This window comes from Homo sapiens, chromosome 5 (genome assembly GCF_000001405.40).
Source record: "Homo sapiens chromosome 5, GRCh38.p14 Primary Assembly".
NCBI classification, from domain to species: domain Eukaryota; kingdom Metazoa; phylum Chordata; class Mammalia; order Primates; family Hominidae; genus Homo; species Homo sapiens.
In genome coordinates, this window is record NC_000005.10 from 122375312 (window position 1) to 122390891 (window position 15580).

Here is a 15580-nt window from a genome sequence, read left to right on the forward strand (position 1 = left end):
TATAATTCTAATTAAAAATATATGGCTGGGTTTTTCTTTTTCTCAGTTAGCTGGGTTAGCTCTTTGGACTGCTTCCGATACAGTGAGAAATTGTTTTCAGTGTCTTCACATACATTTATGTAAGCATTGATTTTTAAGCAAATTCTTAGTAGATTTTTGCTTTTTTTTTTTTTTTCATTTTTCTTCTGTGTTAATAGACCTGGGATTTATTATACTGTCATTCTAGTGAATAGATATCCCCAAACTGAGACCTGGTTCTAAAAAGGCTGCATTGAAAATTATAAAACTGGACCTCATTAACAGAAGACACTAAGAACATCTTTGTAGCCATGAAGTGCTATAGAGAAAGGAAATTTTAAAGTAGCCAAGGCCCAAATTGTGTAAAGTTGTGTGTGCCAATGTCTATCTCTTGTATAGCACAACAAATTGAAAAAAAATAATAAAAATAAAAAGACCTAAGACCCTCTGAGATTGCTGGGTGGTCTTCATGGGAAATGCTTAGTTGAGTCCACTGAGGCAGCTTAATCAAAAGGGCACTAGGCATGAATCCTGTATAATGAAGTTAACATCTGGATAGATGTGGCATGTGGGGAAGAGGTCACCATCTTTTAATTAAGTGCAGATGTAGCCAAAGCTGAGGATAGCCATTAGCTTAGCTTAGGTAGTGGTTCTAAAATGTGATTCTGAGACCAGCAGCATCAGCATCACGTGGGAACTTATGACAAATGCAAATTATTGGGCACCACCTTGACCTATTGAATCAGCAAGTCTGGGATTTGGACCCAGCAGTCTGTTTTAATAAGCCATCTGAGTGACTCTCGTGCACTCTAAAGTTTGAGAATAACTCATCTAGGATTGCTCCAAAGTTTAATCCTCATAAACAATCAGAATGAAGCCAAGATAACTGACTGAAGATGTAGTCTTCAGTGATCCCATGCATGCTGCTGTTGTGTCTGCTTCTCTCTAAAATGGCAATCAGGGTTGTGATGTGTTCCAAACACATCCACTGTAGAAATTGAGTAATTTTTGCAAAATCAAAATAAAGCATAACCATTTCAGGTGTGCCAAAATTTGGAAGTTAGATTTGGATAGTTTCTTGTACATAACTGAGTAAGGGCTCCAGTTCCCAGATTATTCCATAGTTCCCTTCCAGAAGCCAGTGCAAGACATGATTGGTTGGCTTAAGCCCATGCTCAACTTCCCAGTGCTTGAAATGTTTTCTTTTTCTTTCCAGATATTTTCTTCTTCTTTGGACCTCATTAGGTCATAGTTTTGTCCTTGTGGAATTGATAAGTTTTCATTTACAACAGGGAACAAATCATATGTTCACTGAATGAACAATATTCCAGTTCTCTTTAAAAATTAGTTTGATTTTAACTCTCTTGCTCCCTCCTTTCTCTCCCTTAACCTCCAATTTCACTCAAGTTCCTGGTGGGATTATGATGACAGATGAAAGAGAATAGGGAAATTCAACAGAGATGGTCATGGCAGCACTCTGAAAAGGTGTAAAATTGGTCAGGACTGTCCTGAGGACCTGGTTTAGTTTCATGGGTGTTTGTCAATGCCATCTCAGACTACGCAAAATCTTTTCAGCTGGGAGGCCGTCTATTCCTCCTTCACAATGCAGGATTCTGATCTTCTTCTCTCAGAGGACTTCTATTTGAACAATTTCTTGCTGAGGTGGGTGTGATTTCACAAAGCAGCCCATTCCATTAAAGCCCATTTGAAATACCATACTTACAAAGTCTTTACTGAGACTGACATCCCTGATATGTCCTCCAAGATTTACCCTTGAAGTTAAATCCTCCTTTTACTTGCGAGATCTTTAGATTCTTAGAGAGGAAAGCTTTTTTCTCTTCACCAAGTTAGAAATTTCCTTAGCTGTATTGCATAAGACAGTTTCTCAACCACTGGTTTTCTTGGCTTCCTTTCTCTGTCTTGGTGTATTCCAGATAACCTGTGGCTTTTTAAAGAAGTGACACTCAGAACTGAATACAATATGTTTTTTCTTTGTGTATGTGTATACATTTGTGTTTGCATGTATTTTTTTCTATTATACATTCTTTTATCTTCTCCTGCACAGCTCCTGTGAGCATGAATTCTTTCTTTCTTCCAAAAAGAATTTTAAATGTTCAACTCATTTTAAATCACACACACAAGAAAGGGGTGAGAGGGAGACAGACAGAGAGAGAGAGAGAGAGAGAGAGAGAAAGAAAGAAAGAGAGATCAGATATTTTTTTTATATACTTTAAGTTTTAGGGTACATGTGCACATTGTGCAGGTTAGTTACATATGTATACATGTGCCATGCTGGTGCGCTGCACCTACTAACTCGTCATCTAGCATTATGTATATCTCCCAATGCTATCCCTCCCCCCTCCCCCCACCCCACAACAGTCCCCAGAGTGTGATATTCCCCTTCCTGTGCCCATGTGATCTCATTGTTCAATTCCCACCTATGAGTGAGAATATGCGGTGTTTGGTTTTTTGTTCTTGCGATAGTTTACTGAGAATGATGATTTCCAATTTCATCCATGTCCCTACAAAGGACATGAACTCATCATTTTTTATGGCTGCATAGTATTCCATGGTGTATATGTGCCACATTTTCGCAATCCAGTCTGTCATTGTTGGACATTTGGGTTGGTTCCAAGTCTTTGCTATTGTGAATAATGCCACAATAAACATACGTGTGCATGTGTCTTTATAGCAGCATGATTTATAGTCCTTTGGGTATATACCCAGTAATGGGATGGCTGGGTCAAATGGTATTTCTAGTTCTAGATCCCTGAGGAATAGCCACACTGACTTCCACAATGGTTGAACTAGTTTACAGTCCCACCAACAGTGTAAAAGTGTTCCTATTTCTCCACATCCTCTCCAGCACCTGTCGTTTCCTGACAATTTAATGATCGCCATTCTAACTGGTGTGAGATGGTATCTCATTGTGGTTTTGATTTGCATTTCTCTGATGGCCAGTGATGATGAGCATTTTTTCATGTGTTTTTTGGCTGCATAAATGTCTTCTTTTGAGAAGTGTCTGTTCATGTCCTTCGCCCACTTTTTGATGGGGTTGTTTGTTTTTTTCTTGTAAATTTGTTTGAGTTCATTGTAGATTCTGGATATTAGCCCTTTGTCAGATGAGTAGGTTGTGAAAATTTTCTCTCATTTTGTAGGTTGCCTGTTCACTCTGATGGTAGTTTCTTTTGCTGTGCAGAAGCTCTTTAGTTTAATTAGATCCCATTTGTCAATTTTGTCTTTTGTTGCCATTGCTTTTGGTGTTCTGGACATGAACTCCTTGCCCATGCCTATGTCCTGAATGGTAATGCCTAGGTTTTCTTCTAGGGTTTTTTTGGTTTTAGGTCTAACGTTTAAGTCTTTAATCCATCTTGAATTGATTTTTGTATAAGGTGTAAGGAAGGGATCCAGTTTCAGCTTTCTACATATGGCTAGCCAGTTTTCCCAGCACCATTTATTAAATAGGGAATCCTTCCCCATTGCTTGTTTTTCTCAGGTTTGTCAAAGATCAGATAGTTGTAGATAAGTGGCGTTATTTCTGAGGGCTCTGTTCTGTTCCATTCATCTATATCTCTGTTTTGGTACCAGTACCATGCTGTTTTGGTACTGTAGCCTTGTAGTATAGTTTGAAGTCAGGTAGTGTGATGCCTCCAGCTTTGTTCTTTTGGCTTAGGATTGACTTGGCGATGCGGGCTCTTTTTTGGTTCCATATGAACTTTAAAGTAGTTTTTTCCAATTCTGTGAAGAAAGTCATTGGTAGCTTGATGGGGATGGCATTGAATCTGTAAATTACCTTGGGCAGTATGGCCATTTTCACAATATTGATTCTTCCTACCCATGAGCATGGAATGTTCTTCCATTTGTTTGTATCCTCTTTTATTTCCTTGAGCAGTGGTTTGTAGTTCTCCTTGAAGAGGTCCTTCACATCCCTTGTAAGTTGGATTCCTAGGTATTTTATTCTCTTTGAAGCAATTGTGAATGGGAGTTCACTCATGATTTGGCTCTCTGTTTGTCTGTTGTTGGTGTATAAGAATGCTTGTGATTTTTGTACATTGATTTTGTATCCTGAGACTTTGCTGAAGTTGCTTATCAGCTTAAGGAGATTTTGGGCTGAGACGATGGGGTTTTCTAGATATACAATCATGTCGTCTGCAAACAGGGACAATTTGACTTCCTCTTTTCCTAATTGAATACCCTTTATTTCCTTCTCCTGCCTGATTGCCCTGGCCAGAACTTCCAACACTACGTTGAATAGGAGTGGTGAGAGAGGGCATCCCTGTCTTGTGCCAGTTTTCAAAGGGAATGCTTCCAGTTTTTGCCCATTCAGTATGATATTGGCTGTGAGTTTGTCATAGATAGCTCTCATTATTTTGAAATACGTCCCATCAATACCTAATTTATTGAGAGTTTTTAGCATGAAGGGTTGTTGAATTTTGTCAAAGGCTTTTTCTGCATCTATTGAGATAATCATGTGGTTTTTGTCTTTGGCTCTGTTTATATGCTGGATTACATTTATTGATTTGCGTATATTGAACCAGCCTTGCATCCCAGGGATGAAGCCCACTTGATCATCGTGGATAAGCTTTTTGATGTGTTGCTGGATTCGGTTTGCCAGTATTTTATTGAGGATTTTTGCATCAATGTTCATCAAGGGTATTGGTCTAAAATTCTCTTTTTTGGTTGTGTCTCTGCCCGGCTTTGGTATCAGAATGATGCTGGCCTCATAAAATGAGTTAGGGAGGATTCCCTCTTTTTCTATTGATTGGAATAGTTTCAGAAGGAATGGTACCAGCGCCTCCTTGTACCTCTGGTAGAATTCGGCTGTGAATCCATCTGGTCCTGTACTCTTTTTGGTTGGTAAACTATTGATTATTGCCACAATTTCAGCTCCTGTTATTGGTCTATTCAGAGATTCAACTTCTTCCTGGTTTATTCTTGGGAGAGTGTATGTGTCGAGGAATTTATCCATTTCTTCTAGATTTTCTAGTTTATTTGCATAGACGTGTTTGTAGTATTCTCTGATGGTAGTTTGGATTTCTGTGGGATCAGTGGTGATATCCCCTTTATCATTTTTTATTGTGTCTATTTGATTCTTCTCTCTTTTTTTCTTCATTAGTCTTGCTAGTGGTCTATCAATTTTGTTGATCCTTTCAAAAAACCAGCTCCTGAATTCATTAATTTTTTGAAGGGTTTTTTGTGTCTCTATTTCCTTCAGTTCTGCTCTGATTTTAGTTATTTCTTGCCTTCTGCTAGCTTTTGAATGTGTTTGCTCTTGCTTTTCTAGTTCTTTTAATTGTGATGTTAGGGTGTCAATTTTGGATCTTTCCTGCTTTCTCTTGTGGGCATTTAGTGCTATAAATTTCCCTCTACACACTGCTTTGAATGCGTCCCAGAGATTCTGGTATGTGGTGTCTTTGTTCTCGTTGGTTTCAAAGAACATCTTTATTTCTGCCTTCATTTCGTTATGTATCCAGTAGTCATTTAGGAGCAGGTTGTTCAGTTTCCATGTAGTTGAGCAGTTTTAAGTGAGATTCTTAATCCTGAGTTCTAGTTTGATTGCACTGTGGTCTGAGAGATAGTTTGTTATAATCTCTGTTCTTTTACATTTGCTGAGGAGAGCTTTACTTCCAAGTATGTGGTCAATTTTGGAATAGGTGTGTTGTGGTGCTGAAAAAAATGTATATTCTGTTGATTTGGGGTGGAGAGTTCTGTAGATGTCTATTAGGTCCGCTTGGTGCAGAGCTGAGTTGAATTCCTGGGTATCCTTGTTGACTTTCTGTCTCGTTGATCTGTCTAATGTTGACAGTGGGGTGTTAAAGTCTCCCATTATTAATGTGTGGGAGTCTAAGTCTCTTTGTAGGTCACTCAGGACTTGCTTTATGAATCTGGGTGCTCCTGTATTGGGTGCATATATATTTAGGATAGTTAGCTCTTCTTGTTGAATTGATCCCTTTACCATTATGTAATGGCCTTTTTTGTCTCTTTTGATCTTTGTTGGTTTAAAGTCTGTTTTATCAGAGACTAGGATTGCAACCCCTGCCTTTTTTTGTTTTCCATTTGCTTGGTAGATCTTCCTCCATCCTTTTATTTTGAGCCTATGTGTGTCTCTGCACGTGAGATGGGTTTCCTGAATACAACACACTGATGGGTCTTGACTCTTTATCCAATTTGCCAGTCTGTGTCTTTTAATTGGAGCATTTAGTCCATTTACATTTAAAGTTAATATTGTTATGTGTGAATTTGATCCTGTCATTATGATGTTAGCTGGTGATTTTGCTCGTTAGTTGATGCAGTTTCTTCCTAGTCTCGATGGTCTTTACATTTTGGCATGATTTTGCAGCAGCTGGTACCGGTTGTTCCTTTCCATGTTTAGCGGTTCCTTCAGGAGCTCTTTTAGGGCAGGCCTGGTGGTGACAAAATCTCTCAGCATTTGCTTGTCTGTAAAGTATTTTATTTCTCCTTCACTTATGAAGCTTAGTTTGTCTGGATATGAAATTCTGGGTTGAAAATTCTTGTCTTTAAGAATGTTGAATATTGGCCCCCACTCTCTTCTGGCTTGTAGGGTTTCTGCAGAAAGATCTGCTGTTAGTCTGATGGGTTTCCCTTTGTAGGTAAACTGACCTTTCTCCCTAGCTGCCCTTAACATTTTTTCCTTCATTTCAACCTTGGTGAATCTGACAATTATGTGTCTTGGGGTTGCTCTTCTCGAGGATTATCTTTGTGGTTTTCTCTGTATTTCCTTAATTTGAATGTTGGCCTTTCTTGCTAGGTTGGGGAAGTTCTCCTGGATAATATCCTGAAGAGTGTTTTCCAACTTGTTTCCATTCTCCCCATCACTTTCAGGTACACCAATCAGACGTAGATTTGGTCTTTTCACATAGTCCCATATTTCTTGGAGGCTTTGCTCATTTCTTTTTATTCTTTTTTCTCTAAACTTCCCTTCTCACTTCATTTCATTCATTTCATCTTCCATTGCTGATACCCTTTCTTCCAGTTGATCGCATTGGCTCCTGAGACTTCTGCATTCTTCACGTAATTCTCGAGCCTTGGTTTTTCAGCTCCATCAGCTCCTTTAAGCACTTCTCTGTATTGGTTATTCTAGTTATACATTCTTCTAAATTGTTTTCAAAGTTTTCAACTTCTTTGCCTTTGGTTTGAATGTCCTCCCGTAGCTCAGAGTAATTTGATCGTCTGAAGCCTTCTTCTCTCACCTCGTCAAAGTCATTCTCCATCCAGCTTTGTTCCGTTGCTGGTGAGGAACTGCGTTCCTTTGGAGGAGGAGAGGCGCTCTGCGTTTTAGAGTTTCCAGTTTTTCTGTTCTGTTTTTTCCCCATCTTTGTGGTTTTATCTACTTTTGGTCTTTGATGATGGTGATGTACAGATGGGTTTTTGGTGTGGATGTCCTTTCTGTTCGTTAGTTTTCCTTCTAACAGACAGGACCCTCAGCTGCAGGTCTGTTGGAATACCCTGCCGTGTGAGGTGTCAGTGTGCCCCTGCTGGGGTTGCCTCCCAGTTAGCCTGCTCGGGGGTCAGGGGTCAGGGACCCACTTGAGGAGGCAGTCTGCCCGTTCTCAGATCTCCAGCTGCGTGCTGGGAGAACCACTGCTCTCTTCAAAGCTGTCAGACAGGGACATTTAAGTCTGCAGAGGTTACTGCTGTCTTTTTGTCTGTCTGTGCCCTGCCCCCAGAGGTGGAGTCTACAGAGGCAGGCAGGCCTCCTTGAGCTGTGGTGGGCTCCACCCAGTTGGAGCTTCCCGGCTGCTTTGTTTACCTAGCAAGCCTGGGCAATGGCAGGCGCCCCTCCCCCAGCCTCGCTGCAGCCTTGCAGTTTGATCTCAGACTGCTGTGCTAGCAATCAGCGAGACTCCGTGGGCGTAGGACCCTCCGAGCCAGGTGCGGGATATAATCTCGTGATGCGCCGTTTTTTAAGCTGGTCCAAAAAGCTCAATATTCGGGTGGGAGTGACCCGATTTTCCAGGTGCGTCCGTCACCCCTTTCTTTGACTCGGAAAGGGAACTCCCTGACCCCTTGCGCTTCCCAAGTGAGGCAATGCCTCACCCTGCTTCGGCTTGCGCACGGTGCGCGCACCCACTGACCTGCGCCCACTGTCTGGCACTCCCTAGTGAGATGAACCCGGTACCTCAGATGGAAATGCAGAAATCACCCGTCTTCTGTGTCGCTCACGCTGGGAGCTGTAGACCGGAGCTGTTCCTATTCGGCCATCTTGGCTCCTCGAGAGATCAGATTTAAAGGTACATAAAATATGTATATCTGCCCTAGACTTAAAAACTAGTCTCTCCAAGCTCTCAAGTTCAGGTATATGTTAGTTTGTTCTCAATATTTGGGTTTCAGATACCATGAAATGACCTCCAAATCACTTGCAAGAATTTTAATGTATAAATTAAAGGGCAAAACTACAAAAAGACCAATCCTTACAGGAATTTTTCAGAGAAATCCTGATCTCCAGAATCAAGTTTTCTAAAACAGTGCCATCTTCCTTGCCTTTTTAATAAGACATTAAAAGGATGGTCATAATCCAATTTTCTTTAAAGGTGAAGTTGAAGACTTAAACCAACTGGCTATGGAATATGTTGTCTTATAGACTAGTTCAGGGATACCTGTGGGTAAGGTGTGTTAGAGACACAAAGTCTATACACGTTTTGTTAATGATGATGATGGTGATGATGTCTACCATTTCTGTTTAATCTCTCCAGGAAAGAAGGGTAATTCATTTGGAGTTAGGTTCATGAACATCCAAACAATACAATTCAGGGCTAGGGATGTCTGGAATTCTGACCTAGATGGTTCAAAGACACACCCATGATTCAGAGCAGTCCAGGGCAAGTCAGAAGAGCACTAGACTGGTTAGCAGGAAATGATTTGTGTTAGCTGGCTTTGCCCCTACTTAGTAGTGCATAACCTTGGATGGAATATTCCTGAGGTTTGCCATCTGTAAAATATGAAAGATATGATTGCAAATTACAAATTATGGTGCATACCTTCTGCCTCCATCACAGGTTGCAGTAAATAATTTGAGCTAAAAAATGTGAAGATGATTCTTAAAAAAAAAATGACACAGAGGCAGTGTTGCTTTACCTTGTCATTTTGGCAAGTTGAAGTAGGAGAGAAAAATACTAGACTTAAAATCAGAAGCCCTGGTTGCGTGAATTTGAGGCAATTACAGAACCTCTCTGAGCCTTGGTTTCCTTATCTCCACAAAAGAAATTATAATGACATTTGTCTCCCAGCATCTGTGTGAGACTAAGTGAGCAAGTATATGTAATAGCACCCAGTCCTAAATCTTGATACAAAGTTTTCTTCACAAATTTTTCTGTGGGTGTTTCCTTCAGGACAGCAAGGAAGAAATGCAGGCTCTCCTCTAGGAGCTGGAGCAGGCTCAATATATTACACTGAAGTCCCTTGTTTGATATCAAACATTCACTTGTATTCTTACAAACATGCCAGAAATTTGATATTCCAAGATGTGCTCTGTGTTCACTCTGGCTTTGAAAATACTCCCCTGACAATCCCTGTTTATCACCCCACCCTCACCATCACGCTTCAAGACCGCTTTGTAGAAGCAAAAATACAGCAATCAATGCTAAATCAATGTTATGCGTCTTTCTGGACATTCTGTTCCAGAATTCTCACTTCCAGGCCTGTTCCCATACTGAAAGCACAGACAACTGGAACACTTCCTCCTGTCCCAACCACTCCCTTCCCATTCACACCTCCATCCTTCGGCTTTCAGCTTTGCCAGGCTGACTTCTGTTATCTCCAAGGTCTAGATTGGGTGCCTCAGCCTGCTGTGTATTTATTTGTCCTGGCGAGCATCACATGATATTGTAATAGCATGCCTTCTTGTTTGTCTCCCCTGGTACCATATACTCCATCTTGGTGTGGAAACTAGTGTAGGTCTTATCCACCACATGCATCCAGAATATTCCATAAATGAAGAAGTGGATAAAGTCCACAGGGCTTGTGCTTTTTCTTTGTTCATGTGTACTTCTTGGCTCTCCTTCAGTTGCCTCTTTCTAGTAAAAATTTCTTGCCTCTATCATTTTTCTGCTTCAAGATGAGGCATTTACTGACTGCCATGCTTCTGGCCACTGTTGAATCAAAGAGTGAAAGAAACCAAATCCAACATTTGGAATGAGTTGCTTCCTTGCCAGCCAAGCTACTGAGCCAACTGGGGACAACATTTCTACCCAGACCTTCCAGTACTTATTTTGTGATCATTTTAAGTTTTTATATTGAAGAAAGTAAGCCCAATATCGATGTTCAGGCTTTCAAATTGAAAATTTTTCCCAGTACAAATTTGGCAGGCATGCGTGTGCGCACGTATGTGTGTGTGTGTGTGTGTGTGTGTGTGTGTGTGTGTGTAGGGGTGCAGGGAGCGGCTGTGTTTTTCTAAGAGCTGGTATATTAAAAGGTAAAGAAATAAGTTGTAATGCAAATCCTTTGAAGTTACCTCATCACCGAATGTACTCTGCTCATTTATTTTGACAAATCCAACTTACTTTTAATTACCAGGCCTCATAGTATACTGGTAAATGGAGCAATAGCGACTTTGGCAGAAAAGGAGAAATCTGTGTAACATGAGCCTTCAGAATGAGTCCAAGCTGACTCCTTGTAAAATAGAGTGAGGCAATACATTTTTAAAAATTTTTCAGTAGAGCAATTTATGTGATATGTGACTGTAGTCACAAATCAATGTGCCTTTTATGAGCCAAGCACACCAGAATGCATACACTAAAATGAGTGTAGTTTCTCAAGGAAATTTTGTTGGCCACTATAAGCTTTTTCCAGTGATGCTGCCATTATGCAACAGATTTTTGGAAGTCTTCGTTTGGAATTATTTTCAAAGTCAGTTTTCCAGTCACAACAAAAAAATTAAAAATATCACCTGAATATCATAATACGGGGGTGGCAAGGAGGCTATTTTTTTAATTGCTTGTCTATTTTTTTATTATGCAATGTGGTTCTCAGTTATTTTGAGCTCTCTCCCAAAAGGAAACTTCTATGGAAGGTAGCAGTTGGGCCATCACTGAGGTCACTCTTGAGAAGGTGACATGGTGTTGATAGACCCATTAGGGGCATAAGCCCCTCACACACACTTTAATAGGCACTGGAGGGACTTCTGCTCTTGGCAGTTTATCAAAACTCTGTGAGAGTAGGAAGAGTCCTACAAACATTGAGTGTAGTTGATGCTGTTTGTTTTGTTCTGAAAGCCGGGCATCAGTTTGGAGTTTGAGTAAGGTTTCTCCCAGTGCTGTGGGCACATCCAAAGAAGGGAGCCAAGCTGTCATTAGCAGTTTCTGCACAGCATATAGTTCTCAGCAGCCGAGCCCTGTGTCCCCACATTCTAATCTGTTTCTTCTTTCCCTCTCTATCAGTTTTCCTACCCAAATTGGGAGAGCTGAACCATTGAAAAATGTTTCCTTTACCTTTCTCAACTCACCCTCCCTGGCATCTCATCTCTCCCCACTTCAAAAAAAAAAAAAATTAAAACACATAACATACCTGCCTAAATAAATAACAAATCAAGAATTGCCAATGCCAGTAAAAAGAAATGGGATGATTTCAATCCGTGGACAATACTCATGGTGGACAAATCTTGAAAAAGGTGTGCTGTGGGGAGAGGGGCTTACATGCAAAAGAAAGCCCTCGGAAGGCCTTAGAAAACCTGGGAACAAGTGATTGTAGCTTGTAGGGTCAGGGCTGATGGCATGGGGGAGAAATTCAGATTCACAAATGACTAGGTCCTGAGATCCAAAAGGGGCCTATGATGCATAGCAATAAAAATCCTATATAAAGGATTTTTGTTTGTTTGTTTGTTTGTTTTTTGCGACGGAGTCTCGTTCTGTCACCCAGACTGGAGTGCAGTGGTGTGATCTCGGCTCACTGCAACCTCCACCTCCCGGGTTCAAGTGATTCTCCTGCCTCAGCCTCCCGAATAGCTGGGACTACAGGCGCCCACCACCACGCCCGGCTAATGTTTTGCATTTTTAGTAGAGATGGGGTTTCATTGTGTTAGCCAGGATGGTCTCCTGACCTCGTGATCCGTCCACCTTGGCCTCCCAAAGTGCTGGGATTACAGGTGTGAGTCACCATGCCCGACCCTACATAAAGGATTTTAAGCTGGCCTGCCCTTTCTGGAAAGCGTAAAAAATGTATTTTGCTTAGGTATAAACCCACTCTTGTTGGCCTCAGTAGGTTGGCTCTCTTGCCTCCCAGCTGCTGGTTTGGGCCAGACAGAGGATGGCTTCAGGACTTTTTCTGGGTTTGCACTTGGCACGGCTTCCTCCCTTCCCCTGGAGTCACAGCAGTGAAGTGTCACCATGTAAATCCACACCAATCACACAAAGCAAGAAGAACCCTTCCTTCCCCCAGTTGTAAAGTGAAGGAAACATAATCCCCACTTCGTAACATTTTATTAAGTTTGCAAAGGTTTTCTTTTCCTAGTACTAAGAGATAAAGTGGACATTCTGTGAAAGCACAAATTGTGATGTGCCAATAGTTTATTTGTAGGAAATTGTATTTTGTTGCTGTTGTGGTATGATAATTTAAAATGATCTTAGAATACAAATTAAATCTTAGAATACAAATGAAGTCAACATTTTTGGCAGGAGGCACCAATACAAAATTGGGGGTAATGGTTGTACTTATGTTTAATACTGAATTCCTTTGAAGGGTCGAACACTCAAATGTCCCCAAGGCATGTTGGTGAGTAGAGCAGCCTTGGAGAGGCTCTGGGAAAATGGGGAGCACAGGCCCCATGGACAGGTAGGAGCAGCTGCGGCTTAGCTCCAGCTAGTTGTTGCCATGGGGACTGCAGACCCCTGTTGCCAGAGCTTCAGGTATTTAAAACAAAGCCAGAAATCCAGAATTTTATGTGAAATCACCCAAGGTCTGCAAGTTGGCAACTGATTCAATTTTTTTTTTTTCTTTAACACTGTTGGGGTCAAACAAATCACATCTGTGGGCCAGATTCAGCTCACAGGCCTCCAATGCATGCCCTCTGTAGCTGTGCTTTCTGTTACAGCATGTTTGCCATGGGTCTGAAAGAAGGCTTATTGGTTTCCATAGTGGATTGGTGTGCAGAGTGGGAGGTGTCAGAAGAGCAGGATGAGAAAAGCAACCACAGTTCACCTCATTGTCCTTATCATGTTTGATCATTTGCAGCAGCTACTCTAACCTGACCTTATTGCTTCCTATCTTGTCACTGATTCCTTAGAAAAGAGTGCCTGAGAGTGCCAGAGGCTTGGTGGAAGGGCAGACGAGAGAAGAGGAGGCATTGTATTGGCCACTGGGACAACTGCAGACTCACTCTTACCTGTAAAGAAGCAGTTAATGTTGGGGAATGTAGTCAGGATTGGAAAACCACGGGGATTTCTGCACATTATAATTGAGAATGTAAATATTCTTAAAGTGGCACCCTGAAAGAGACAAGCATTGAAACCAGACAAAATAAATTGGATCATGAACAGAATGAGACATCTTAAAGGAGATAGCATGTGGAGGCCTGCTGGGAAGTAGAGGCAAATTCCAGATGCCTAGGAGCCTTAGTCTAAGGTGGGGCCATCCAACCCACAGAAATAAATATGGGCAGTGGCCCAAGACTTCCTATAATGAGCTGCACCTGTTGTAAGTCTTGTGTTCTTGCCTATAGAATAAAGAACCTCACTACCATCCTGCAAGTGCAAATTGAAAGATTCCTGTTGTGATGCCATGAGTTATTATCCGCTGGTTATATTCTATTGGAATGGCTACACTCAACTGGATATTGCTGTCTATATTGTTGGAGCACCTCAAACAGGGGTGCAATGGTTATTTGTTAATTTACTTAATTAAGACATGTTCATCCACATTTTATAGTTTCATTTATTTAAAGATCCATTTGGTCCCCAGCTTCGATGCATGTTTCTCTGCTTCATCTCCCCATATTTCCATGTTCCTGCTGATGTTTATACCATATCCTGGCACCCAGCATCATCTGTGTGTTGTTCACCAAGGCCGTGGGAACAGAGTCTGTAAATCAATAGTTCATCACGGAGTACAGATTTCATGAAAAGAAATTGGATTGGAAGAAAGTCTCCTAGTGAACACGCTAGTATCCAAAGAGTCTGGATTGTATCAGAATCCATCACAGTAGGAGAGAATGTTGTTTTGAGTAATTTCCAAGCAGAGTACATATATTTTCCTCTGAAAATCTTTGTAAATTGAAGAAAAGTGACATTTTTATACCAAGCAATTTGTTTGATAACCTATTTTCAGATTTCTACAAATAATAAAATTTCTGATTTTAAATATTTTTTACAAATACAAGTTGGTTTTCTTTTCATTGTAAGCCTTACTGTGATTTCAGAAGAATTTTTAACATTTGCTAAATGGATAATCTCATTTAAACATGGAAGTAACATCCTAATCCTTTCTTGGATGGACTCTGTATCTATTGTAATTAAGACTTTAAAAATGGTATATACATATGGGAAAAAAAGGAGAGGAAACAGGAAAATTAAATCAAGTGATGGGTTTGAGGTAAGGAATGGCAAGTTTTTTTTTTCTGTTTATCATAATTATACCATTTGCAGAGCTTAAAAAAGAAAGAATGGCTCAACATGAGGGAAAACAAATGCCTTCAGAACAAATTTGCTTTTAAAAAGTAGGTCTTTTTACACTTTCAGTCTTTTATCGGGAGGCCCATTTTCATCAGGCTAGATGTATTTTCACTTTCCAGTAATGCACTCCTTATTGTTCAGCAAGGTACATCTTGATTAGACAATCAAAGAGGGCAAAATGAATTATTTCAGATACTCAAATCTGGGTACTTAAGATAATTTTTACAATAAGAAAGACAAGTTGCAGGAAGCAGAGGCTGATTTTGCTATCTGAGAGTTGGCGCTGCAGAAGATAACTGCACACCAAGGCGCTGTCAGGAGATCTATATTTCTGCTCTTGACATCTGTAGGTGCCTCTGCCGCCGCTGATGGGGATGATGATAAGTGATGGGAAAATGAAGTGGGAGGTGATGTATCCTACTGTGATAGATTTAAAGGGTTGCCCCAGGCGGCCCTGAGGCAAGAGCTGACTGAAGACGTTCCGGGGCCTGCATCAGGTCACTATGGCACAGTCAGGCAAAGCTGTTTGAGGCAGAGGGCAGTGCAATAACTCTGAGGTTTAAATCTGCACTTAGATCCTCTTTCTTTCTTCCTTTTTGAGGGGTGAACTGGAGGTTGTGCTACAAATTCTAAAATATCCATTACTCTTGGTTAGTGGTATCTGTCTTGTGTTATTCCTGTGGAGATGCAGTATTCATTGCTCCATGTACAACACCCAAGGATATGCCCACAGGAAACATTTGAAAATGGCTTTCCTAAGATTTCCAGGCTGGCTCCCCATTTCCCAAAGCCCTGCCTTTTACCCTGGCTGTGGTAAGAGTTGGTGTGAATTCTAATATTGATTCTAGGGGGAGATTCTGACCCAAGTTACTGCTCTGGCAAAGACAAACAGGCACATATCAAATAAAGCAAAGGACTTTGAGTGCCCACTGGGGAGCCAC

General features: G+C 40.9%; 1 protein-coding gene across 49 annotated transcripts in view, besides 2 other annotated features; it reads left to right on the forward strand.

The window, feature by feature from the left end:
- The window catches only part of SNCAIP (synuclein alpha interacting protein), a 152867-nt gene that overhangs the window by 63959 nt on the left and 73328 nt on the right, over positions 1-15580 (forward strand). For 6 of the 49 annotated variants that reach the window (XM_047417911.1, NM_001308100.2, XM_047417918.1 and 3 more), the window contains one exon: positions 13256-14559. The exons of 35 other annotated variants lie outside the window; for them this stretch is intronic. The gene's annotated coding sequence lies outside the window, so the exon portion shown is untranslated. Of the gene's footprint in view, positions 1-7810; positions 8271-13255; positions 14560-15580 lie in introns of those variants that run through there. 8 more of the 49 variants (XM_047417928.1, XM_047417931.1, XM_047417922.1 and 5 more) reach the window with 5 other exon arrangements.
- Positions 7331-7945: an enhancer, noted in NCBI's record as "OCT4-NANOG-H3K27ac-H3K4me1 hESC enhancer chr5:121718337-121718951 (GRCh37/hg19 assembly coordinates)". NCBI's record gives its function as "activates a minimal SCP1, AML or CMV promoter by ChIP-STARR-seq in naive H9 embryonic stem cells {active_cell/tissue: H9 hESC(naive)}" and the evidence as "EXISTENCE:reporter gene assay evidence [ECO:0000049][PMID:30033119]".
- Positions 7946-8559: an enhancer, noted in NCBI's record as "OCT4-NANOG-H3K27ac-H3K4me1 hESC enhancer chr5:121718952-121719565 (GRCh37/hg19 assembly coordinates)". NCBI's record gives its function as "activates a minimal SCP1, AML or CMV promoter by ChIP-STARR-seq in naive H9 embryonic stem cells {active_cell/tissue: H9 hESC(naive)}" and the evidence as "EXISTENCE:reporter gene assay evidence [ECO:0000049][PMID:30033119]".